General features: G+C 42.9%; 1 pseudogene, besides 1 other annotated feature; it reads right to left on the minus strand.

Annotated features, from left to right (window-relative positions):
- POLE4P1 (POLE4 pseudogene 1) lies at positions 238 to 578 on the minus strand (annotated as a pseudogene).
- Positions 17,789 to 17,989: a silencer, noted in NCBI's record as "peak4588 fragment used in MPRA reporter construct". NCBI's record gives its function as "represses an SCP1 promoter by STARR-seq MPRAs in K562 erythroleukemia cells {active_cell/tissue: K562}" and the evidence as "EXISTENCE:reporter gene assay evidence [ECO:0000049][PMID:32103011]".

Genomic DNA, 25,236 nt, shown 5'->3' on the forward strand with positions numbered 1-25,236 from the left:
TCTGCTCCAAGCAGCAGCGGCTGCATCCAGGCCTGACTGGAAGACGGACACACGTTGTGGAAGATCTTGTAGGGAAAAGCCAACGGTTGAGATGGAGGCTTATACCGGTGTGAGCGAGGGTAGAACAGGAAGAGTATGTATGCAAGTGCCAAGACTGTTCTTCTCAACGCTGAAGCCTGCGGAGAGGGGCGAGCTGAAGGATGCAGATGAAGGCCGGGAACCTGCACTGCTGAGCAATCGACCCGAAGTACCTTCCAAAAAAGCAGATTCATCCACAGCTTCTATCGCATTATCCAAATCTCTCCTCTGGAGGGTTTTCCTGTTTCCCTGTTGAGCACAGCAGTAGGCATCTTTTGCAATGGTCTCCACACACAGTTCCCCGGCTCAGGCCAGAATGACTGTTCTCTGTCCCGCCCGTGTCTCGTTGGGGTCAGCCTTCGCCAAGGCCTTCGCTGGCGCCCGAGGCAGCCTCGAGGGACGAGCCCCAGGCACTCTTGTCGGGGCTTGGGGCTGTGGGACCTATGCCTCCCCACCAGGTCGCCCCTCCACTGCTTCCAGCTGCCCCTGAGTGCGCTGCCCGGCCACCTATTGTGTTCAGAAAAAGAAAGTTACCATTTTATCAGTTTATCTGTTTTTGTGTGTGCTTGTTTGTTTTTATTTTGTTTTGTTTTGTTTTTTAGACAGAGTCTCTCTCTGTGGCCCAGGCTGGAATGCAGTGGCGCAGTCTCTGCTCACGGTATTCTCCGCCTCTCGGGTTCAAGCGATTCTCCCACCTCAGCCTCCTTGAATAGCTGGGGCCGCAAGTGCGTGCCACCACTGCCGGCTAATTTTTTTTTTTCTTTCTGTAGAGACGGGGAATCTCTCTGTATTGCCCAGGCTGGTCTCGAACTTCTGGCTTCAAGGGATCCGCCTGCCTCAGCCTCCCAAAGTGCTGGGATTACAGGCTTAATCCCACTGCAACTGGCCTGAATTAATTTTACTGTGTATATTTGAAGTTTACAGCATGATGTTATGGGATACATATATTAATAGTAAAATGGTTGCTTCAGTGAAGCAGATGAACATATCTGTCATCTCACAGATACTTCTGTTTTGTAACAAGAGCTGCCAAAATCTACTTGTTTAACAAAAATCCCTAATACAACACAATTTTATTAACTATATCCTCACATTATACATTAGCTCTCTAGACTTGTTCATCTTACATCCTTCCAGACCTTCAAATCCTCTTTGTCTTTCCCACTCTTCACCCATTTCTTTCCCTCCTGGCACAGGTCCTGAAATGTCCTATTGCATTACCTCAAAAGCTAGTCACAGGAGAACAATGATTTGCTCTGGCAAGGCGAAGACAGTACCAAGTCATTGCATAATCTCCACTCACATTCGGAGTTCCTGAGCAGCTGCTCTGGAGGTGGATGAAAATAACCCATCATTTCAGTTTTTATAACCCATTCAGGTGAGAATACTATTTTTAGGGCACAATAATTTAAAAGCTCTTGCTGGCCTAGGGGGAAATATCTTCAACCCTTTAGAGAAATGAAGTGGGTTCTTGTCTTTTCTTTTCTGGCCAGTGTCCAGAAAGAGTTTTTTCTTTGTAGAGACATGAAATGATTCGCTGCTTACTTGCACTGAGGGTTTTAAAAACTGGTGCTAAAAATACCCAACTTAGAAAGTTTCAGACCATTGGAATTTAGGACACCTTCCAGCATCATGGTATTCATTTATCGAAATAAACTTAATGTCCCCTAATTTCACCTTGATTTTTTGGAGGTAAAAGTGATACCCTTTGAGTACTGTCAGATACATAAGGAATGAGGTTCTCTTAGTTTGTATTTCCCCAAAGCAGACCTTGAAACAAGGATCTGGGGGCAAATAGTTTATTCAAGACCAAAGTGAGAGAGTGGGTAGGGGAGACAAGGAAGGAAGGAAAGCTAATAAAGCATATATTAATAAGAATACTTCTGCTGTAGGCAAATTTTGTTCTTGTTGTTGTTGTTCTTTTTGAGACTGTCTTGCTCTGTTGCCCAGGCTGGAGTGCAGTGGCACGATCTCGGCTCACTGCAACCTCTGCCCTCCCTGGTTCAAGTGATTCTCCTGCCTCAGCCTCCTGAGTACCTGGGATTACAGGCACGTGCTGCCATGCCCAGCTAATTTTTGAATTTTTAGTAGAGATGGGGTTTCGCCATGTCGGTCAGGCTGGTCTTGAACTCCACCTCAAGTGATCCGCCCACCTCAGCCTTCCAAAGTGCTGGGATTACAGGCATAAGCCACTGTGCCTGGCTGGCAAATGGGTTTTAATCCTGCTGAGAGTCTACTGGAACATGCCTCAAAAGTCTCCCACTGTGGGGTGAGAGAGTTGAGGTATTTATATTCCAATGCCCATCCCTTAGTGATTGAGAGCTGCTCCTGGAACATTAACTACCTGACACTTCTGAACTACTCTGAAGTGGACTGATCAACTCCTACTCCAAGGACAGGGAGTGTGCTAGAACAGAGAGACATAGGAAGTCCTCCAGGTAGGCAAAGAACATATGGGTGGGGCACTGACAGCATCTGCTACAAGGGTCAAATTTGGGTTCATCAATGAACCATGTATTCCTCACTTAAGACATATAGTATGGTCATTTGGAAAACCATTTTTGCCTTGCAAAGTCTGTTTGCCTTTAATAAAGTAGCAGAAAATCCAGCTGTATGTACTAGCTGTGGAGCAAGCACAATGTGGAATTAAAGGCCTCATCATTTGCAATTCCCATCCCCCAACTCCAGCGGCACTAAGAGTAAATGAGATCACCCTCTCTCTTTAGTGTCAGCACAAGTCTGGGCAGAAGATGACACCACTGACACTCAAAAACTGAGACAGCAGCATTTGCAAGATACAGGAAAGAATAGGGCTCGGACTCCATCATTATATCTAGACAATGCAAGTAGCAATGCTAATTACCTATGATAGCCATGACAATTAAATCCAGTGAGTAAAAGATGTCCAGAATAGTGCCTGGTGCCCATATTAGAACTCTCGCAGACAAATACGAAGGCCCAAATATGTACTGTTTTAATTCTTCTGAAAAGAAAAAACACTTGTTTTTTTTTCCTGTTTATAAAAATAAGACATATTTCTGGTATTTGTAGAAAATGTAGAAAATACAGAAAAAGATAAAGGGGAAAACTAGAATTCCATCTTATGATCTTTGATAAATAAATATATATATAAAAGTTTAAATATATAAATTTCAGCTCTTTTATAATATAATTGTATATTGGAACCAGTTGGATCTTTCTACATACAGCATATGGTTTTATTTCCTGTGTTTTTTTTTTGTTTTTGTTTTTGTTTTTCGAGATGGAGTTTTGCACTTGTCACCCAGGCTGGAGTGCAGTGGCATGATCCTGGCTCCTGGCTCACTGCAACCTCTATCTCCTGGGTTCAAGCGATTCTCCTGCCTCAGCCCCTGTGAAGAGCTGGGGTTACAGGCATGCACCACTGCGCCCAGCTAATTTTTGTATTTTTAGTAGAGATGGGGTTTCACCATGTAGCCAGGTTGGTCTTGAACTCCTGACCTCAGGTGACCCGCCTGCCTCAGCCTCTGAAAGTGCTGGGATTAAAAGCATGAGCCACCGCATGCCTGGCCCGTATCCTGTTTTTCATATGGTGTATAATAGGCTGTACAATTAATTCTGTATGCCACTGAACATTCTTTGAAATATTGCTATTGTCCGAATCATATTTAATCAGCTGGATGTTCCATAAATCATTTGGTGATTCTTCTGTGAATTTCCATTTACAGTAACTGTGGTGAACACTTTTGTACTGACCACTTGGCATCTGAGTATTTAGTTGGGATGTACTCTCAGATGTGAGATTACAGAGTCAAAAGTTAAGAAGGCCAAAAGTCTGGGACTGAGTTGTAAGGGACCATCTCCTATCAGTGGTCTTCAGTGGAAATCTGTGACATACAGAGATGACTCCCCTTGGCTGTGGAGTTGCAGGCCAGATCTGCCACCATATAGAATCAGAGACCTCAAGCTTGTAGAAACCCTGGAGATTATCTCCCCCCACACCCTCTTTGCTTTTCTGATAAAGGAACTGAATTTCAAAGAGGCTAAGTCATTTGCAATTTTTGGCTATTATTTACCATTTCTTTTGGACACACATGTAAGCCCTTGACAAGCCTCTCTGAGAGAGCACAAATGGACCAGACTTGGCCAGGCCATCAGACTCTGGTCTTGGGTTGTTTTTAGATATTAAATTACATCATGACACAGAAGATAGAATGGCTAGACAGCTGGCTTCCCCGCCAGAAGGGAGGATATGCTCTTCTAGTTCTCAGGAGCCTGAAAGGGTACCTCCTTCATCAGCTGACTACACATAAGATAAACTATCTCTTCCTACACTTGGAAGAACCACGAGGTTTGGTGGACTGCCTTGGAGCAAAAATAAACCTTCAGGAGAAACAGTCCACTGGGTCAGACTGAGTCAATAAAACCCACACTGGAAAGGGCAAAGTGCTTTTTTTTTTTTTTTTGAGACGGAGTTTTGCTCTTGTTGCCCAGGCTGGAGTGCAAGGGCGTGATCTCGGCTCACCGCAACCTCCGCCTCCTGGGTTAAAGCGATTCTCCTGCCTCAGCCTCTGAGTAGCTGGGATTACAGGCATGCGCCACCACGCCTGGCTAATTTTGCATTTTTAGTAGAGATGGGATTTCTCTATGTTGGTCAGGCTGGTCTCGAACTCCTGACCCCAGGTGATTCACCCACCTCGGCCTCCCAAAGTGCTGGGATTACAGGCGTGAGCCACCGCGCCTGGCCAAGGGCAAAGCGCTTTCATGAGATTGGCTAGTTCTTTCCTTATTTATTAAATGGGGATTTGGACTCTTAGATATAGGATGTATTTTGCAGACATTGTCACAGCCGTACTTATATTTCCAAAAACATCAACCACTTTCTACAGCAAGCACCTGAGAAGTTTTATCTAAGAGCTTTCTCTAACTTCAGGAGCCTGAAGTTAGAGAAGCCTTGGTCAGGCCCATCAGGCTCTCCTCTACCAATTCTTTCTGGCATCAGCCCCAACTCACATCCTTTTGTTCAGGTCTGCCTCTTGGGAAACCCAACTGAAGACGATCTAGCCCTTTGAGAGTAATTGCAGGAAACCCTGATAAGAGAAACCAGTTAGTGTAGCAGATAACCATTGTTACAGATGTTAGATTCAGCAGACAAGCACATTCAAACCACTACTCTAACTGTTTTCCATGTGTTCGAAAAACTAGAGGGAAGATTGACCATGTGAAGAAGACATGGAAGATATTTTAAAAGCCCAGTGGAATTTCTCCAGATGAAACAGAAAAAGGGAAGCAACTCAGAAAAAATGCAGGCAATGGCTGCGGTGGAGAAGGATCCCAGGCTGAGAGGCAGAAGCCAAATTATAATTGTTACAATTAGGGTCAGGTACATAAAACAGGAAGAAAAATTAGCAGTAGCTTAAACAAGAGAGGTTATTCCTCTCTCATGTAAAATAAATTTTACAGTGCAAAGCTGAAGGAGAGAGTAAGAAACAATAAAGGAACCAAAAAGATCACCAATAAAGGAACAAGATTTATACTAGCATCACATTATCATCATGAGAAGTCTTAGAAATTCTGTCTCCTCTTTCTACAGAAGAAAGACGTAGTATATCAGAAACAGTGAAACTTCCCAAGGAGAACTATGAAAAGAGACTCTAAGATACCAGCTATTTAAGCAGCCTAAACACATCCAGTTCACATTCGATCAAAACCTCAGTGAGCTCCCACAAGAATGCTTTCAAGAAGCATAGAATAAATTTTGAGCAACAGAAAATAATACACTTTGGGAGGCCACGGTAGGAGGACTGCTTGAGGCCAGGAGTTCAAGACCAGCCTGGGCAACATGACGAAACCCCGTTTCTACAAAAAATACAAAAATTAGTCATGTGTGGTGGCATACACCTGTAGCCCCAGCTACTAGGGAGGCTGAGGTGGGAGGATTGCTTAAGCCCAGGAGTTAGAGACCAGCCTGACCAACATAGTGAAACCCCGTCTCTTCTAAAAATACAAAAAATTAGCGGGGTGTGGTGGTGCATGCTGTAATCCCAGCCACTCAAGAGTCTGAAGTAGAAGAATCACTTGAACCCGGGAGGTGGAGGCTGCAGTGAGCTGAGATGGCACCACTGCACTCCAGCCTGCATGACAGAGCAAGACTCTGTCTTAAAAAAAAAAAAAAAAAGTGGCCCAGCACAATGGCTCACACCTGCAATCCCAGCAATTTGAGAGGCCGAGGCGGGCGGATCACAAGGTCAGGAGATCGAGACCATCCTGGCTAACACAGTGAAACCCCGTCTCTACTAAAAATACAAAAAAATTAGCCAGGCATGGTGGCAGGCGCCTGTAGTCCCAGCTACTCAGGAGGCTAAGGCAGGAAAATGGCGTGAACCCAGGAGGTGGAGCTTGCAGTGAGCCGAGATGGTGTCACTGCACTCCAGCCTGGGCTACAGAGCAAGACACCATCTCAAAAAAAATAAATAAATAAAGAATATTCAAGTGATTACATGATTACAGAGGTCATGACATTGATTGGCCCTGTTGTGAAGGAAATGTACTTCTGTCATCCCACTTGACTCAGCCAGGAGTAATATTTGCAAAATAATGTAAACTCTGTTTCTTGAATTTCAGCATTTAGGAATAACATGGATGGTTGAACCCATGGATACAGAGGGCCAACTGCACATACAATGAATGCTTGAAGTGCACTGATCTTCAGTGAACAGCTCACTGACTCTTTACAGGTGTGTATACTAGAGCAGCTATCACTCAGATGGAGACATAGAACATCACCAGCACCCCAAAACATTTCCTCATGCTCCTTCCCCATCGATCCACCTCTTCCTAGAAATAATCCCTATTCTAACTTCTATCACCATTGATCTGTTTTGCCTGTTCTTGATCTTCAGATAAATCAAAAAGTATATTTTCTTGTGTTTGTCTTTTTTCACCAAACATAATGAAAATTATTTCTATTGCTGCTACCTCAGTAGTTTATTCTTTTTATTGCAGTGTGGTATTCCATCATATGACTAGTCTAGAAACTGGGTTTTGCCATGTTGTCCATGCAGGTCTCAAACTCGTGAGCTCAAGCGATCCGCCCACCTCAGACTCCAAAGTGCTGAAATTATAGGCATGAGCCACCATGCCTGGTCAGCATTGGGGAGTTTCAAGAACTATTCCAGCAAAGGAGGGGAACTTCACCACCGCTGCATGTCCTAGCCTTGGAAGTCAGGCAGCATTGCTTCTGCTGTGTTCTCTTTGTTACAAGTAAGTCACCAACACACCCAGATTCAAGGGTAAGGAAAATAAAATCTACCTTTTGGTAGGTGAGTGGCAATATGCTAGATGAGCATGTGGGAGATCCTTTGCAGCCAATTTTGGAAAAATACACTCAACCATGCTGTCCCATACCCAGTTTTTTTTCTCCATCGTCCTTTTTCTTATTGGATATTATCTTATTTATTTATTTGTGTTTAGTGAACCACCTCCCTTTACTGGAATATATGCCCTGAAATGGCAAAAACTCTCTCTGTTATTCTCTACCCTCTCACCAGTACCTGAAGGTGCTTGTACATAGTAGGTAATAAACATGTTGATTAAAATAGTAAAAATTTTGACCAGGCACCATGACTCTCACCTGTAATCCCAGCACTTTGGGAGGCCAAGGCAGGTGGATCATCTGAGGTCAGGGGTTTGAGACCTGCCTGGCCAACATGACAAAACCCCGTCTCTACTAAAAACACAAAAATTAGCTGGGCATGGTGGCAGATGCCTATAATCCCAGCTACTCAGGAGGCTGAGGCAAGAAAATCGCTTGAACCTGGGAGGCGGAGCTTGCAGTGAGCCGAGATCATACCATTGCACTCCAGCATGGGCAACAAGAGTGAAACTCCATCTCAAAAAAAAAAAAAAAAAAAAAAGTAAGAATTTTGTATCAGGGAAGAAGTAGATGCCTCTGGTCAATAAACCAATTAATAGAACTACAAGAATATTTTTAGACATGTGGACCTAACCGCTCAAAGAACTAAAACCAGAATTAGTTTTAAGGAGTTGCCTGTAGGGTACAAGATGGGAAGAGGAAAGATAGGGCAGAGGGTTAGTGCCGTTCTGTGGCATGTGTACGTATGACAATTTGTTTTGTTTTGTTTTTGAGACAGGGTCTCGCTCTGTCTCTTAGGCTGGAGTGCAGTGGCACAATCTTGGCTCACTGCAACCTCTGCCTCCCGGGCTGAGGCAAGCGATCCTCCCACTTCAGCCTCCTTGAGTAGCTGGGACTTCAGGCACCTGCCACCACTCACAGCTAATTTTTTGTATCTTTTGTAGAGATGGGATCTTGCCACATTTGTAGAGATGGGGTCTTGCCATGTTGCCCCGGCTGGTCTTGAACTCTTGGACTCAAAGTGATCCGCCCACCTTGGCCTCCCAAATTCCCAAAGCTGCTGTCTCCTGCAGCTTAACACCCAACACCATGCCTGGCCCGTATGACAGTTTTTAAAATCCATGTACTTATATTTCTTAGATATTGAAAATTTGCTACCTGCACCTGCTGTGTTCCCACCCTCTGGAGACCTGGGAACCTGGCTGCAGCCTGGGAAGGCTGGAGAAGCAGATGGCAGCACCCACCAGCTCCTCTCCCTGTCCCACCTCTTCCCTGGGGAACCAGACCCTACCTGTGTGGTGGTGGGTGGGCTGATTGTCAAGACATGTGTCATATACATTTTTATCAAAAATAAAGAAGTGACTATGAAAAAAAAGAAAATTTGAAAAGATTAAATTTTTAGAAAGGTGATTGTAGAAAATGTGGAAAAACTAGAAGAGAATACAAAGGAATAAAGTATTATTTGTAATCCTGCCACCTAGAAAGAGCCACTGTAAACAGTTTGGTCTATTATCTTCTTGTCGAAATTAAAATAGACAGTTCTGTGTCTTGCCTTTCCCTTTTCCATTCATTAATTCTCTTTTTGATCTAGTGCTAAGAGTCATACTCATTAATTCTGTTATGAGGATTTGCACTGGGCCAGAAATGCTGCCTGACAAACGTATTTGACCTAAGGTTAAAAATTCTGTTAGTTCTTGTTTCTCCTGCTAGAGGACTGCATAATTATACCCTTTATCTTTTCCTCTCTCCACCCTTGCAGTCCACCCGCACAATCCTGCTTAACCCACTCTTAACCCTGCTGTCTTCCCCTTGTTCAGGGACTGCTTGAGCCCATCATTATCTCGTTCTCCTCAGCCACAGGACAGCAGTGTGTGTCTTTTTAAGCTATGGCCACCTAATAAACTACCCAAAACACAGTGGTTTAAAACAACAAGGATTGTACTATTTTTCAAAATTCTATGGGTCAGGAATTTGAACAGGGCACAGCTCCATCATATCTATTCCATATGCTGTCTGCTGCAGCTTAACGCCCAACACATCTGAAGTCTCAACTAGCATCACTGGAAAGACCAAGGACAAATGAGACCCCTTAAATTGAGGTCATGTGTCTGGGGCTTCGCTCACATTGTCATCTGAGTGCTAGTGTGTTCTCTCCAGCGGGGTAGTCTGCCTTCTTACAAGGCAGCTTGGGGCTCCCAAGAGCTTAGACCTTGAACTGTGATGGCATTCCATTGGCTAAAGCAAGTCACAGGCCCAGCCCAGAGTCGAGAGGAAGGAAGCACACAGGGTACAAACACCAGGAGGCGTGGGATGCTGGTGGCCACCAATATATCCGACTACCATGCATCAGATGGACTGGAATCCAGATCCGGTCTACGGGCTATATTGCCTTGGCTTGATTTCTTCACTTCTCTTAGCCACCATTTCCTTTCTTATCTGTAAAATAATTAGGATATCATTTCTCCCCGGGCAGAATCATTGTGTGCATTCAATTATGCCTTGTGCCTGGAACCTTCGCTGCATGAGATTTCACAGAAGAGACTCAAGCATTAGAAAGGCATGTAGACTGTAAACCTGATGGGACCATGAGAACATAAGCTCCTGGCAACCTGAAAAAAATCTTTGGGAGAGCTTCAGACTTCCAAGGAATCAGAAGTTGGAGGCAACGGTGTTTAAATCTCAAACAAAAAAATGATCCCAGTGAAAAAAATAGATAATATTATATGGTTGCAGGAGTGCAGAAGTTTTTCTTCTTTTTCTCTCCATCTTGACTTTTTTCTTCTCTTTAGCAATCTCTTGTGTCTATTTTAAGTTTACTCTTTTTCTTCTTATCTCTTACTGAATAATTTTCTCTGCCAAGTAACCTCTTGTTCTAGCTCAAAACCTGGAGCCTCAAGAAGCCCTTCCCATGTTTATCCACCTTCTTCTCTGGAAGAGTCCCCATAACTGGTCCCCACCAAGGCTGGAAGAAAGCAGAGCTCACACCCCACAGGAGGTCACGAGAATTCTGCCTGGGCTGTTCCTCCTGGCCTCCTGCCTTGCCATGTCCACTCTGAGGCCCCTCCCCCCACACGGTTCGAGGCTCCCTCAAATGGAAGGGATGTGTAAGCAAGTGACCTTTAACCCAATTAGAATCCTCCTGCAATCTGTGCTAATCTTCTTAGGTGTTAATATTTAGCATTACCTTGTACTACCCAGGTGCCAGTCAGGGCAGCTGCCTGAAGTCTTATCAGCAAACCCTTCAAAAACGCTTCCTTGCTTTTCTTCCCCCTGCTTCCTTGATGAGGATTCTGGGGCTGGCAAGGGGTGGGTAGAAATGACTCTTCCTTTGAAAGTCAAAGATTTAATGAAGGGCACAGGAACTATTTCTCAGAGTCACTATCTGCTGCAGGATAATTAGCACTTTATTAAAGGCGCATATTTGATGTAACAGTGAGGAAGGTGATTGGTGCTTCTCAAGCTTGAAAGAGTGGATTCTGGTCCAGTAGGTCTGGGGTGGGTCCTGAGTTTCCAGATATCTAAGAAGCTTTCAGGAGACACTGCTCCTGGTGGAGGTGGTCTGGGAACCACATTTAGTGTACTAGTCAGGGTTCTCCAGAGAAACAGAACCAATAGGATACATACCTTTATGATATATACACACACAGATGTAGCACACATGGGAAGTCCTCAATGTCATCGACAGGTTTTAAGTGAAATGATGTATAACAAAACCAACTCTACCATAGGCTAGATGATACAAACAAGAATTAAATTTCTATGGCATATTTCTGGTCACAAAAACATCAGCGAACTTCTAAATAAACACTTATTAACATTGAAATAAATATGAGTTATTCATACATTTAAGAAAAATTAATAAAAATAAGTAGGATAATCATTTACCCAGTTTTTGGGGAATCATTGAGTGATGGTGATTATAGTGGCTGTGAAATAAAATCAAGAAATCAATGTTTGCAAAGTGAAAATTGTAAGGAGCACCTCCTGTGACCATAGGGCTCATAAACAATCACACATAGGGAGGGCTCAAAAAGTGCTTTTGTCCCACATTGTTTATTGTGGTGCATCTGTATGATTATCAGATACTTTACACATTTTTATTTTATAATAATTTGTATTTATCCATTCATTTTCCAACCTGCTTATTCAAGTACAGGGTTGCAGTGGCAGGAGCTTATCCCAGCAGTTCAGGGGCAAAGCAGGAACCAGCCCTGGACAAGACCCATTCCATTACAGGGCACACTCATGTGCACATGCACACTCACCAGACTGTAACCATTTAGATACACCAATTCACCTAATGTGCACATCTTTGGGATTCAGGAGGAACTCAAGAGTACTGGGGGAAACCCATGCAGACATGGGGAGAATGTGCAAACTCCACACAGACAGTGGCCCTGGCCAGGAATGAATTTTTTTTCTCGTCGACATTATAATGAAATGACGTTGAATGAAACGATGTTATTGACTGGGTGCGGTGGCTCCCACCTGTTATCCCGGCACTTTGGGAGGCTGAGGCAGGAAAATTGCTTGAGGCCAGGAGTTTGAGACCAACCTGGGTAACATAGCAAGACCCTGTGTCTACAAAAAAAAATGTTTTTAATAGACAGATGTGGTAGATTGTGCTTGTACTTCTAGCTACTTGGGAGGCTGAGAAGAGAGAGAGAGGGAAGGAAGGAAGGAAGAAAAAAAGGAAGGAAGTAAGAGAGGGAGGGAGGGAGGGGCCGACTCTGGGCACACCTAGGAGTTAGCCCTGCTCTGGAAGGAGCAGCTCTGGTTCAATGAAAGATTATTTTCTTTTTTTGAGACAAAGTTTCTCTCTTGTTGCCCAGGCTGGAGTGTAATGGTGCCATCTCGGCTCACTGGAACCTCCATCTCCCAGGTTCATGGGATTCTCCTGCCTCAGCCTCCGGAGTAGCTGGGATTACAGGCACCTATCACCATGCCCAGATAATTTTTTGTATTTTTAATAGAGACGGGGTTTCACCATGTTGGCCAGGCTGGTCTCAAACTCCTGACCTCAGGCGATCCACCCGCCTCGGCCTCCCAAAGTGCTGGGATTACAGGCATGAACCACTGCGCCCGGCCTCAGTGAAAGATTGTTTAACCTCACCAGTTGAATTATTTCCTGGGTGAAGCCCCAGTGATGGCACTTGCTTGCATCAATAGCACCCTTCTATCTCCCTGTCTCAGCCTAGGCACTTGCTTCCAAGCTGAAACTACCTGCTATATCTCTATATTTAAGAGATATAAGAAGTTTAATTTTTCCTTTGGATAAAGGCAATTAGCTAACACAAATGACAACCTCAATTACCAGGTGAATTTAGGATGAACTATGTGTAGGAAACAGTGCAGCCAAATCAAATAAAGTGGGTTGCTCCAGGTCTTATAAATCAAGAGTGGGCTGGACGCGGTGGCTCACACCTGTAATCCCAGCACTTTGGGAGGCTGAGGTGGGCAGATCACCTGAGGTCAGTAGTTCGAGACCAGCCTCAACATGAAGAAACCCCATCTCTACTAAAACTACAAAATTAGCCAGGCATGGTGGTACATGCCTGTAATCTCAGCTACTCAGGAGGCTGAAGCAGGAGAATTGCTTGAACCTGGGGGACGGAGGTTGCGGTGAGCTGAGATCGCACCATTGCACTCCAGCCTGGGCAGCAAGAGCAAAACTCCGTCTCAGAAAAAAAAAAAAAAAAAAAAAAATCAAAAGAGTGGTCATCCCTTTGCAGCAAACCATTTCCCATAATACAGAGGTCGGGGGGTCAGGGCTCTTCTTTCCAGAATCACAGACTCTGGTAAAGTTCAGCATTGTCAACATACAATTAGTCATTATGTTGTGAATTCTTGACCAATAAAACTGATAATTTAATTCCTAGTTAAAAGAAAAAAGAAGGAAGGGAGGAAGGAAGGAAGGAAGGGAGGAAGGAAGGAAGGAAGGAAGGAAAGAAAGAAGGAAGGAGAAAGAAGGAAAGGGCCAGACACAGTGGCTCACACCTGTAATCCTAGCACTCTGGAAGGTCGAGGCGGGTGGATCACTTGAGGTCAGAAGTTCGAGACCAGCCTGGCCAACATGGTGAAACCCTATCTCTACTAAAAATACAAAAAGGAGCTGGGCATGGTGGCACTCGCCTGCAGTCCCAGCTATTCGGGAGGCTGAGGCAGGAGAATTGCTTAAATGCAGGAGGCTGAGATCTTGCCACTGCACTCCAGCCTCCATCTCAAAAGAAAAAAATGAAGAGGAGAGAGGAGGGGAGGGGAGGGAGGAAGGAAGGAAGGAGGAAGGAAGGAAGGAAGGAAGGAAGGAAGGAAGGAAGGAAGGGAAGGAAGGAAAGGAGGAAGAAGGGAAAGAGAAAGAAAGAAAAAGAGAAATAAAGAAAAGAAAGAGAAAGAAGAAAGGAAAGAAAGAACCGCTATTATTCAAGGACCTGCTGTATACTGCTGTGTGTGTATACACACACATACACACACACACTTAGCAAGGAAATGCTACTAAGTAGTAAGGAAGGGGAGGGATGGGCTATGGACATCTTTCTGCAGCTCTGAGAAGCAGCAAACAACTCTCCATTTTTCCAGACATCTCTTAGCAGCAAAGAGCTTGGGATTTTGAGTCAGACAAGGCTGAGGCTGTCTTCTAGTCTGCTTTCTACTCCTTGTGGTCTTGGGCAAGTCATTTGAGCTGAGAGTCAGTTCCCTCATGTAAAAAATGGGGCGGGGATAACATCAATCTCTCTGAATTGTTCAGGGGATGTTGTGCCACAGTGAGTATGATGGCCTAGCAATGCCTGGCACATAGTGGGCCTCCACAAATGGTACCACGTCTTGCTATTGCAAGGATGGAATCCAGAAACCTAAGCAAGCACTCACTGTCTTCAGCTTTTCCATATTCAGAGTGAGGATGTGGCTTTGTTTTCACAGGTCGAGAGTTAATTAACAGCAGTGTTAGTGGGTGTGCTCCCAAGTTCAGATGGATTTCTGCTTTGATGGGTACACTTCAGCCACCCTAGGGCAAAATGAAGTCATGCTTTGGAAGCGGGAAGAGAAGGCCTCCTTCTCATTAGCTGTTACACCCTCACATGTTTAAGTGTTTTTCATAGACTTTGTTTTCCATTATTAAGTGACACCCTTAGTAACAGACATCCTTGTCACAGATCCTTCTCAAATGGCAAAAAATGAGAACATTTCACAGTTCTTGTGAGTTCAAGTCCATTTTTTTCTCCTTAACTCACAAAAGCATTTTCTTTGCCTCCATGTGTTTTATTCCTAAGCTTCTGACATTCCCAGACTTCCTACCTAAGCTGCCATACCTGTAAATCCTTTAAAGGACTTACTCTGTTTGTCTGAACTTTCAAATTACTTTAAAATAACTATGGACTGTTCTGCTGATAAGCAGAAGATAGGACCAACTTATTTCTCTGGGTTTCTCCTGTTTTGACTCTTGCCATTTACTCCGACATGTTATTTAAATTTTACTGATGATTCAACAGAAGCTGCCACCAGCAAAAGCAGTTGTTTTGTGCCTGAGAACATCCTTCTGCTGGCCTAATTGTCTGTGATGACAACAACAACCTGATTTCTTTGGCTTTCTCTCTCAAGATGCTTGGGAAGAGTTGTAGCAACAGCATGTATGATTAATTCATTAACATATCTCCAAATTTCTTTCTCCTTACTTATAGGACTGGTTTATTACAGCAGTTTTAAAAAGACTAGATCTTGAGCACAGTCATCGTCTCTTCATTTAGCAAAATGAAGCAAAATTTAGCAAAATTCCTAAACTGCAATTGCTACGATTTCTAAATTAAGAGAACAAAATTGGGCAATGGGAGGTATAGAGTATAGAGTTGTCAAGAAAGAAAGGAAGTTAATGGAGCAAGGCTGAATAGTGTGACTTGGGAAATCAAAGATGGTGCCCAAATGGTTTACTTCGCTAGCTGCGAAAGTGTGTTAACCAACCTGATTTGCATTTCAGAGACCTCCTGAATTCAAATTAAGGGTTTTTTGTTCTTGCTGTTTGTTTGTTTGTTATTTGAGACGGAGTTTCGCTCTTGTAGCCCAGGCTGGAGTGCAATAGCGTGAACTCGGCTCACCACAACCTCCACCTCCCGGGTTCAAGCGATTCTCCTGCCTCAGGCTCCCGAGTAGCTGGGATTATAGGCATGCGCCACCACGCCCAGCTAATTTTGTATTTCTAGTAGAGACGGGGTTTCTCCATGTTGGTCAGGCTGGTCTCAAACTCCTGACCTCAGGTGATCCGCCCGCCTCGGCCTCCCAAAGTGCTGGGATTACAGGCATGAGCCACCAAGGTTGTTTTTTTTAAGCCTTAAAGCAATTTAGCACTAATTAGTATATAAAATGTTTTACATTTAAGAAACAAAGATAGGTCGTGAGATAGGTTAATTGGGAGGAAATTTTGATGAAGAAAAAATATAAACAAAAGCAAGAGGAGTATAAATTTGTTTTTCCTCCAGAGACCACATACTCAAGCAATGTTGATGAAATTTAACACAATAGGAGAAGAAAGAGAAGAAATACTTTCACTGGATTCTTGGAGGCCCTTACTCTCGATTGAATGCTCCCAGGTGGTCCTTCAACTTCTTATTTTTAATGATCCCTTGGTATTAACTTGTTAAAAGGTTTAAGTGTTAATTGCTAATGTCTAATCATTTAACTTGTTTTCTTTAAGTTTTAAGTGTTTACACTAGTACTAAACAAGTATCTGGCTAGGATGTTAGGAAGAAGTTTCTGAACTGGGACAGAGTTTAGACTAGAATGATGACCCCCAAGTTTTCTCCTAACGTCAAGATTCAACAAAATCCTTGGTTCTAGAACAGTCTAGGGATTTTCCTCTCTCATAGCTCTTGGCATTTAGAGTACAACTCTGGGTATGCTGGGGTGTTCTCAGGTCCTTTTATTTTGCTGCCTCTAACCAAAGCTACTGGTCTTAGGCCAGAGGGGTGCTTTGCCAGTAATAATTCCTTTTCATGAAAGGAAGTGTTCACATTTCAACCCCATTATTGAGTGTAAGTTCTAAATCCTTCCCTGCTGTTCCTTGGAATTGTAATTTAACATAACTGGTAGCACCAGAACGCAGTAAAACACATGCTTCTACTTGCGAGATTATTATGTAAATGATGCAGTTTCATTATTGCCTTTCGGAGCCATCCTTCATGTACTAGTATCTATGTGAACTGTTTTTCAAAGGGTTCAATAGAGAAAAATGTTAGAATAGTTGTAATTAAATTAATTCTTTTTTACTTTAACTTTTATGATTTTTAGTGTGTTTATTACAGAGTAATTAGAAAGCATAGTAAAGAGAAAAATAACAGTAGCACTTTATGTGGAAGGCTGTTTTTGTTGTTATACTAGCAGAATTTGAGTTTCGTGGGTCCATGACTGGGGGTGGCATCCTTTAACATTTTTCTCTAACTGGGATGCCTTCTTTTTTGAAGAATCTTATCCCTAGAAAAGTTTGTTTTATTGAGGAGGATTTCCATGAAAATTATACCTATTCTAGACTTTTTTAAAAGGCAATTCCAATAAGTAAACTAGAAATTAATAGGTTTTTGAAATTCAACTTCTGAAGATTTCAAAGTCCCTAATTCTGGTCCTGAAATCGAATCACTCTGGGAAAATACTCCTCCCACCCCAATTCTATTACACACTTTTTTGTTTTTTTGAGACCGAGTCTCACTCTGTGCCCAGGCTGGAGTGCAGTGGCGCAATCTCAGCTCACTGCGACCTCTGCTTCCCGGATTCAAGCGATTCTCATGCCTCAGCCTCCTGAGTAGCTGGGACTACAGGCATGCGCCACCACACCACACTAATTTTTGTATTTTTAGTGGAGAAGGAGTTTCACTATGTTGGCCAGGCTGGTCTTGAATTCTTGACCTCAGGTGATCCACCCACTTTGGCCTCCCAAAGTGCTGGGACTACAGGCGTTAAGCCACTGTGCCCGGCCTCTATTACACATTTTAAGGTTAAAATACATGTACATGAATCATTAAAAAGTTCAGAAAGAAATAAAATGAAGCATAAGAGCCTTCCTTCCCCTTCACCTCCAGTTTTTCCCCCTAAAGGGACTTAAGTTTCTTCTCTATACTTCTAAAATATGGGGATCAGGATCAGATGAGGTCCCTAACCTCTTGGAACCTATACCCTTGTAGAGGAGCCCATTATTAATGAAATGATTAGACAATTACAACATTGCAATTGTGGCAAGTGCCTACCAAGGAAAGCTATTAGGTGCCATGAGAGCCTGTAGCTGGGGTACGTGGCCAGGAGATGGGAAGGCTGCAAAGGTTTCCAGAATGAAGTGACACTTGAGTTGAAAGGGGAGATAGGAATTAACTAGGTCAAGAGGACCAGGTGGAGATGGAGAGTATTTCAGGAAGAAAAACAGCATGTGCAAAGCCCTGTAGTGGGAGGATGGCTCATATGAAAGACTGACAGGCAGAGAGTGAACAGCACAAAGGGAGCATGGGAAAGATAAGGCCAAGAGGGAGATAGAGGCTAGACCATAAAAAGCGTTACAAACCATATGAAGAATGGTTTCCATCCTAAGAGCAAGAGTGTGACAGATTGGTGCCCATCTATTCTACCCTTTGGTGTGACTGCAGAGGCTGGAAAGCTAAAAACTACATTCACAAACACCTTGCAACTAGGGCACTGGAGGCATCTAGATTCAGCCAATCAGATTCACTCACATGAGGCCTAGAAGGTGGAGATGAGGCAAGTCCATGCTTCACTGTTTCTGCAGTTTCTGCTGGTGAGCATGGTCCAGAGCATAGTTAGGAAGTGCTCTGGGGTCAAGGGGTCCAATTTCTTTCTAAGAACATGTGGGGGTGTTTTAAATTTATTTATTCATTTGGCCATTGCAGATCTAGGAGAGGCAGCATTACTCTGGAGCCAACAAGTATAGCAGTAGCAATGCCCTCATCCCTGGATAAGATCATGTGCTGTGGAGCCCACAGTTCCAGTGGCAGCTCCCCATTTCTCCATTTGGGATGAAGATAACAGCTCCCTTAATAGTCCAGTTCTATTGTATTCTGAAAGTCATTCCTGGGGACCCAATCTGGAACCCACTCCCCTTAGTTCTCCCAACAGTTTCATAAGCACTTAATTCCCTGTATCAAACTCCTTTTTGCTGGGAAGAGTCATAGGTAAGTTGTCTGCAAACGAACCCTCACAGATAAAAATCAAAGCTAGTGAAACTTTTGAGGCAGGAGAGTGCTAAGATCAGATGACCTCAATATGGAAAGTTAGCCGGAGGGCTTTAGGGTGGGTATGTGAAGGCCAATTAGAAAGCTATTTGTTCAGGGCCGGGTGCGGTGGCTCACACTTGTAATCACAGCATTTTGGGAGCCTGAGACAGTTGGATTACTTGAGATCAGGAGTTTGAGACCAGCCTGGCCAACATGGCAAAACCCTGTCTCTTCTAAAAATACAAAAATTAGCTGGGCACAGTGGCGGGTGCCTGTAATCCCAGTTACTCGGGAGGCTGAGGCAAGAGAATTGCTTGAACCTGGGAGGCGGAGGTTGCAGTGAGCCTGGATTGCGCCACTGCACTCCAGCCTGGCCGACAGAGTAAGACTCCATCTCAAAAAAAAAAAAAAGAAAAAGAAAAAAGAAAAGAAAATGTTTTGTTTTGTTTTAATTTTCTTTTGTTTTCTTTTTTCTTTTTTTTTTTTTTTTTTGAGATGGAGTTTTGCTTTGTCACCCAGGCTGGAGTGCAGTGGTGCAATCTCACTCACTGCAACCTCTATTTCCCAGGTTCAAGTGATTCTCCTGCCTCAGCCTCCAGATTAGCTGGGATTACAAGTGAGCACCACCACTCCTGGCTAATTTTTGTAGTTTTAGTAGAGATGGGGTTTCGCCATGTTTGCCAGGCTGGTTTTGAACCCCTGACTTCAAGTGATCTGCCTGCCTCTGCCTCCCAAAGTGCTGGGATTACAGGCATGAGCCACCGCGCCTGGCCTAATATTTTGTTTACTTAAGTGCAGTGACCTTGTTTCTAATCATAAGGCCGAGTTTCCCATGATTGGTGTTTTAAGTGGAATATTGATGTTTATGTGGAATATTTTTCTTTCGCTCCCTGTGGATAAAACATCTTAATAACCATAGGATCAGAATCTGAAGCTGCTAGAAATCAACACCCTAAGCGTTCTTTCATCCATCCCCATTCTCAGCAGGATCCAGCAAGAACATCCCAAAGAAATGAAAACTTACTTGTTTTGAAGAGACACAGCAAAGATACTGTGGGGCAAGGAAGAACAAACCAACAGTAAAACATGTACTCCAAGCAAGAAAGAGGTTTCTGCTTATACTTTTAAAAAATCATAAAAGATGAATTCATTATTATCCCAAGACATCTTGAATCAGAAATTTGGGTACCTAATTATTCCATAAAATTAAAATGACAGCATCTTTGGAGAGACAGTTGCCTGGCAACTCAAACCAGGAGATTGTCTTTAGATCCTCTGCAATCATGTGTGTCTATTTTGGTTTTTGTGTTGAGCTCATTTCCTTCCCTGCAATCCAAAACTGAACAATTTCTGGAGTAAAATTCCACTCAGAAAAAAGACTATTTTCTTTCAGAAGATATTTTTATTAGTAAGTGCAGCTGTCTGCATGCAGTTGAATCGCTCTATTTTCAGGGCTGGTGTGTGAACATATGAGAAAAGAAAAAATCCCAGCTGAGAGGAGGTTTCAGATGGAGTTGTATGTTTTGAGACCAAAAGCCAGACACCAGCTTTCTAAGAGAAAAATCTGGTTCAGCATCTCACAAAAGATCAAAGTATAATTTAACCAGGTGAGAGGAGCTTTGCAAACTCCTACCTCTTCATTGAAGCAAGGAGGGCTATCCAGGTAGGCTTTTCCTTTTCAAGATTAGAAGCCCTGAGTCTCCCATCTCCTGAATTAGTGATCTGGTTCCAGATTTTTTCATTCTGTGTATAGACCAAAAAAAGTTAGATAACTGCATTATTTATGATTCTTTTTATTATAAGCAAGAGAACTCAAGTTGAGAGAACTTACACAAAAGAGAATTTACCAAAAGATTTGGGACACTCACAAAAGGCCCTCCAAATAACTTGGAAATGGGCAAGAACCACAGAAGGGTCCAGAAGAAACCTGTGCTGAGATAAGTCAATTTCAACAGTCTATTCTGTCTTTGTATTACTCACTCAAAACTCATAATCCCAGGAGAGAGTGTTGAATTGGCTGAGTTGAGATTACGTGTCTGGGCCTGCTGTACTAGGGCAATAAGAGGAAGAGTCCTGTGGAAGGAACACGCAGTAACTCCTTCAGCTTCTAGATGGAAGGGCGAGTATCTAGATTTACAGTCACAACAAGACTGTCCACAAAGAGGGAAAGGAAGCAGATTTCCCAAAAAAGAAATTCTGGGGCCAGGTGCGGTGGCTCACGCCTGTAATCCCAGCACTTTGGGAGGCCGAGGTGGGCAGACCACGAGGTCAGGAGATCGAAACCATACTGGCCAACATGGTGAAACCCCATCTCTACTAAAAAAATACAAAAAATTGGCCGGGCATGGTGGCACGCACCTGTAGTCCCAGTTACTCGGGAGGCTGAGGCAGAAGAATCGCTTGAACCCAGGAGGCAGAGGTTGCAGTAAGCCGAGATTGCGTCATTGAACTCTAGCCTGGCAACAGAGCAAGACTCTGCCTAAAAAAAGAAAAAAGAAACTCTGGTTCTATTAGGAAGAGGGAATGAAGGCCAAAAATATCAAATGTTCATCACTGTCTAAGTTGAGTTCCCAGAAGAAGAAACCGAGGCAGGGATTCTTGTACTAGAGACATATTGAAGATGTACTTTCAGTAGAAATCTGTAAGAAGGTAAAGGATAGAGCAGGGGCAGAGGTGAAACAATGATAGGGTTTCAGCTGAAGTCTAATTTCAGCCTGATCCCATGGACGGTGTGAATTACATCACAGAGTCGTCGTCTTTAAGGAAAGGGCTCAACATTTGTTTATCTCCCTGCCCCCATATCAGTCAGTCATTGGGTGCATGATGTCCTGATAGAAAATATAACCTCCCAAGCATTTCTAGAGAGAAGTGTACGTTTGTGCCATTAGCAGGCAATGCTTATAGTAGCTGGGGCTGGGGATGCCACCACAGTAAAGGGGATGAGGGTGGTGCACTGACATTATTGACTACAATTATAATAATAAAGGCAAGGTACCTGAATTTAATTTGCTAAGTCCAGACTTCCCGTCTATGAACTGCCACATCCCATGATTACCATAGGACCCTGGGACTACCACTAATTCTGGGACAGAATAAAGGAAAGAGATGGATTATTTATTGTGCGGCTGTTTCATTGTGGAAAATGATGTGATTAACAAAGAAATGCCAATAGAGAGTATAAAGAGGTAAATTTTCTTTAACCATTTCTCATTTGCCCCAAGAACCCTGCACTGGCAGCAAGCTGCACTTTTTTTTTTCCTAAATTATAAATGGGTTAAACAAAAAAAGATGTGGAAACTTACGGACATTTTCAATGAACAATGGCTAAAGGAGAGAGGGTTCTAGGAAGGAGGGCACCGAAAAAAATTAAACTAATATACTTTCTAATGCATTTGAAGAAATGAACCAGAAAAAAAATATTGAAAAACTCTTATAGACCTAATGGGCAATTTGGGAATAATTAGTGATACAGGCACAGAAAATAAAACAAACAAAAGGTTGTTAACTCTAGAAAAAAACCAAAAAGTTGTACAAGAAAGAAAATGTAACTACAATTAACAACACTTACCACATAAATAAGCAACATTACTCATTATATTATGATTAATATAAAATATATACATAAAGGGAAAGCCATTGAATAGAATTTGATCCTCGTCATCCATAATGGGAGGATATGCTGGGTATTTGCTTATTTGTTCTTAAATTCATTTCCTGCCTTTCCCCTTCCCAGGCTCATATTGCACAGGCTACTTCTGTAAACTATGCTTCCAAGATCTCGATGACTGTTTTGGCTGAGTTCAGCCAACAGGAAGTGGTAGCCAGGGATTGGAGGATGGCAGTGAAGGAGACACCAGGATATTTCTCCTTCCCACTCTTTCTGCCTTAGATAGAGCCCCTCTGGCTCTGGAGATAATAATGATTGTTTCCTGCAGCTGCTTAAGTTAAGGGTACCTCCACTTCCCCTAATTATCCTTCCAGGTTTTCTAAGCCAGGGTTCTCAACCTCAACACTATTGACATTTTGGTCTGGATGGCTCTTTGTTTTGGGGGATTGTCCTGTGTATTATAAAATGAGTTGCAGCATTCCTTGAGAGACTCCATCCACTAGATACCAGTAGTCACCACCCAGCTGTGACAACAAAAATGTCTCCAGAAATTGCCAAATGTTCCCTAGGGGGCAAAATCACCCCTAATTAAGAACTAAAGGCTGGGCCGGGCGCAGTGGCTCACACCTGTAATCCCAGCACTTTGGGTGGCCGAGGTGGATGGATCACTTGAGCCAGGAGTTTGAGACCAGCCTGGCCAACATGGTGACCATGTTGAGATGTAACCCATCTCTACTAAAAATACAAAAATTAGCCGGGCGTGGTGGCGTGCACTTATAATCCCACCTGCTCAGGAGGCTGATGCAGGAGAATCGCCTGAACCTGGGAGGCAGAGGTTGCAGTGAGCCGAGCTCGTGCCACTGCACTCCAGCCTGGGCGACAGAGTAAGACTCTGTCTCAAAAAAAAAAAAAAAAAAAAAGAAGAGAAAAGAAAAGAAAAGAACTGAAGTTCCAACCCCTTTATAACTGTATTAAATTTTCTCTACTAAATTTGCTAAGGGTTTTAGTTTTCTGACTTGAAGCTGACTGATTCAGAAAGCTATAAACAATGTCTAAATTTGATCAATCAGAAATTAACACAATAAGCATATTATTTAGAAATATGCAACCAATAAAAGAATAAACAAATAAGAGTATTGAATGTAGTTGCTTCTAGAGTGTAGGTCTGGAGAACAAAGGAGAGGTGATTTTGAACTTTTTAATATTTTGTTTTTTAAAATGTATGCATATATAGCTAATAAAAATAAAATACTGGGGCCCGGTGCGGTGGCTCACGCCTGTAATACCAGCACTTTGGGAGCCCGAGGCGGGAGGATCACGAGATCGAGACCATCCTGGTTAACACGGTGAAACCCCGTCTCTACTAAAAATACTAAAAATTAGCCGGGTGTGGTGGCGGGCGCCTGGAGTCCCAGCTACTCGGAAGCTGAGGCAAGAGAATTTCGTGAACCTGGGAGGCGGAGCTTGCAGTAAGCGGAGATTTCGTCACTGCACTCCACCTGGGGCAAGACAGTGAGACTCCATCTCAAAAAAATAAATAAATAAAATACTGGGAAAAGAGAACATGAGCAATTCAGTATTCTAAGTAGAAAGCTCCAGGCAGAGGCTTAAAATTCTTATTCTCAAAAACTGATTAAAGAAGTGCTTATTCTGATCTTTTGTTTTTAATCTTACCTAAACCATATTCTCTTATATTTTACCCAGAGCCAAGTATGGCAGTCACCTAGCTTTTATAAATGAGTCATATTTATTTCTTTTCCAAGATATCTCCAGGCTGCCTCCTCCCAAATGGTTTTGGTTGCAGAACTGGCTTACCTGGTTGTAATCATGTAGTAGTCAGAGAAAACTACTAAAGGCACTATTGTAAATATTACAGGAACACTGAAATAACATTAGAGTCCCTGGATCTGTGTGGGTTGTGTCCCTCCAGAAAAGGTAGAGGGGAAGGTTTGCAGATGTTGCTTTACTGACTTGTGTCAATGTTTCTTATTTCAATAGCATGCCTTTCCCAAATCTCCATTCATCTCATCTCCCAAACACTGTGATTTCTACCATCAGCTCTGGTTTATCTTTGTCTCTCCCCATCATAGCAACTGAAACAAAGTTTTCAGATTGAATTCTTGATTTGCTTGATTGCTGTGACTGTGTTCCAGTTATTTTGGAAATGCATCCGTCTGATATATGACCAACTAATAGAAGGCAGTTTTCAATCTTCTAAAACATAAAACGATGGAAATATATGTATGTGTGTGTATTTTTGTGTGAATAAATATATAAATACATATACCAATATGACATATATTATACATGCATCTATATATATTTTATATACTAAATACATACATGTATGTTTTTGTATATACATTAATATTATCATATGCATTTATTTACATGGAAATACTTTTTGTTCTGACTAAAAAAAGTAATAGATACTAATTATGGGAAAACTAGGTAATACAAAAAATATAAAGCAATAGATAAAAACTGGCTGGGCACGGTGGCTCACACCTGTAATCCTAGCACTTTGGGAGGCTGAGGCGGGTGGATCACCTGAGGTCAGGAGTTCGAGACCAGCCTGGCCGACATGGTGAAACCCCTGTCTCTACTAAAAATGCAAAAAAGATTAGCCAGGTGTGATGGCAGGCACCTGTAATCCCAGCTACTCGGGAGATGGAGGCAGGAGAATTGCTTGAACCTGGGAGGTGGAGGTGGCAGTGAGCCGAGGTCGCGCCGTTGCACTCCAGCCTGGGCTACATGAGCAAGACTGAAAAAAAAAAAAAAAAGAAAGAAAAGAAAAAGAAGAGAAATAGATAAAAATCATGAATACTCCTAAAGTCCAGTAATAGCTATTGTATGAGTCAAAATTAATTTCAGCTACAATTACCCAGAAAAAATATCCAAAATAACATCAAATAAAGGATATTTCTCTAATATAAAATGTCTGGCCACTGGCTATCTAGTGCTTGTACAGTGGTTCCAAATCCATCATAATCCAT

The sequence above is a fragment of the Homo sapiens genome, chromosome 3, assembly GCF_000001405.40.
Source record: "Homo sapiens chromosome 3, GRCh38.p14 Primary Assembly".
Lineage (NCBI taxonomy): Eukaryota > Metazoa > Chordata > Mammalia > Primates > Hominidae > Homo > Homo sapiens.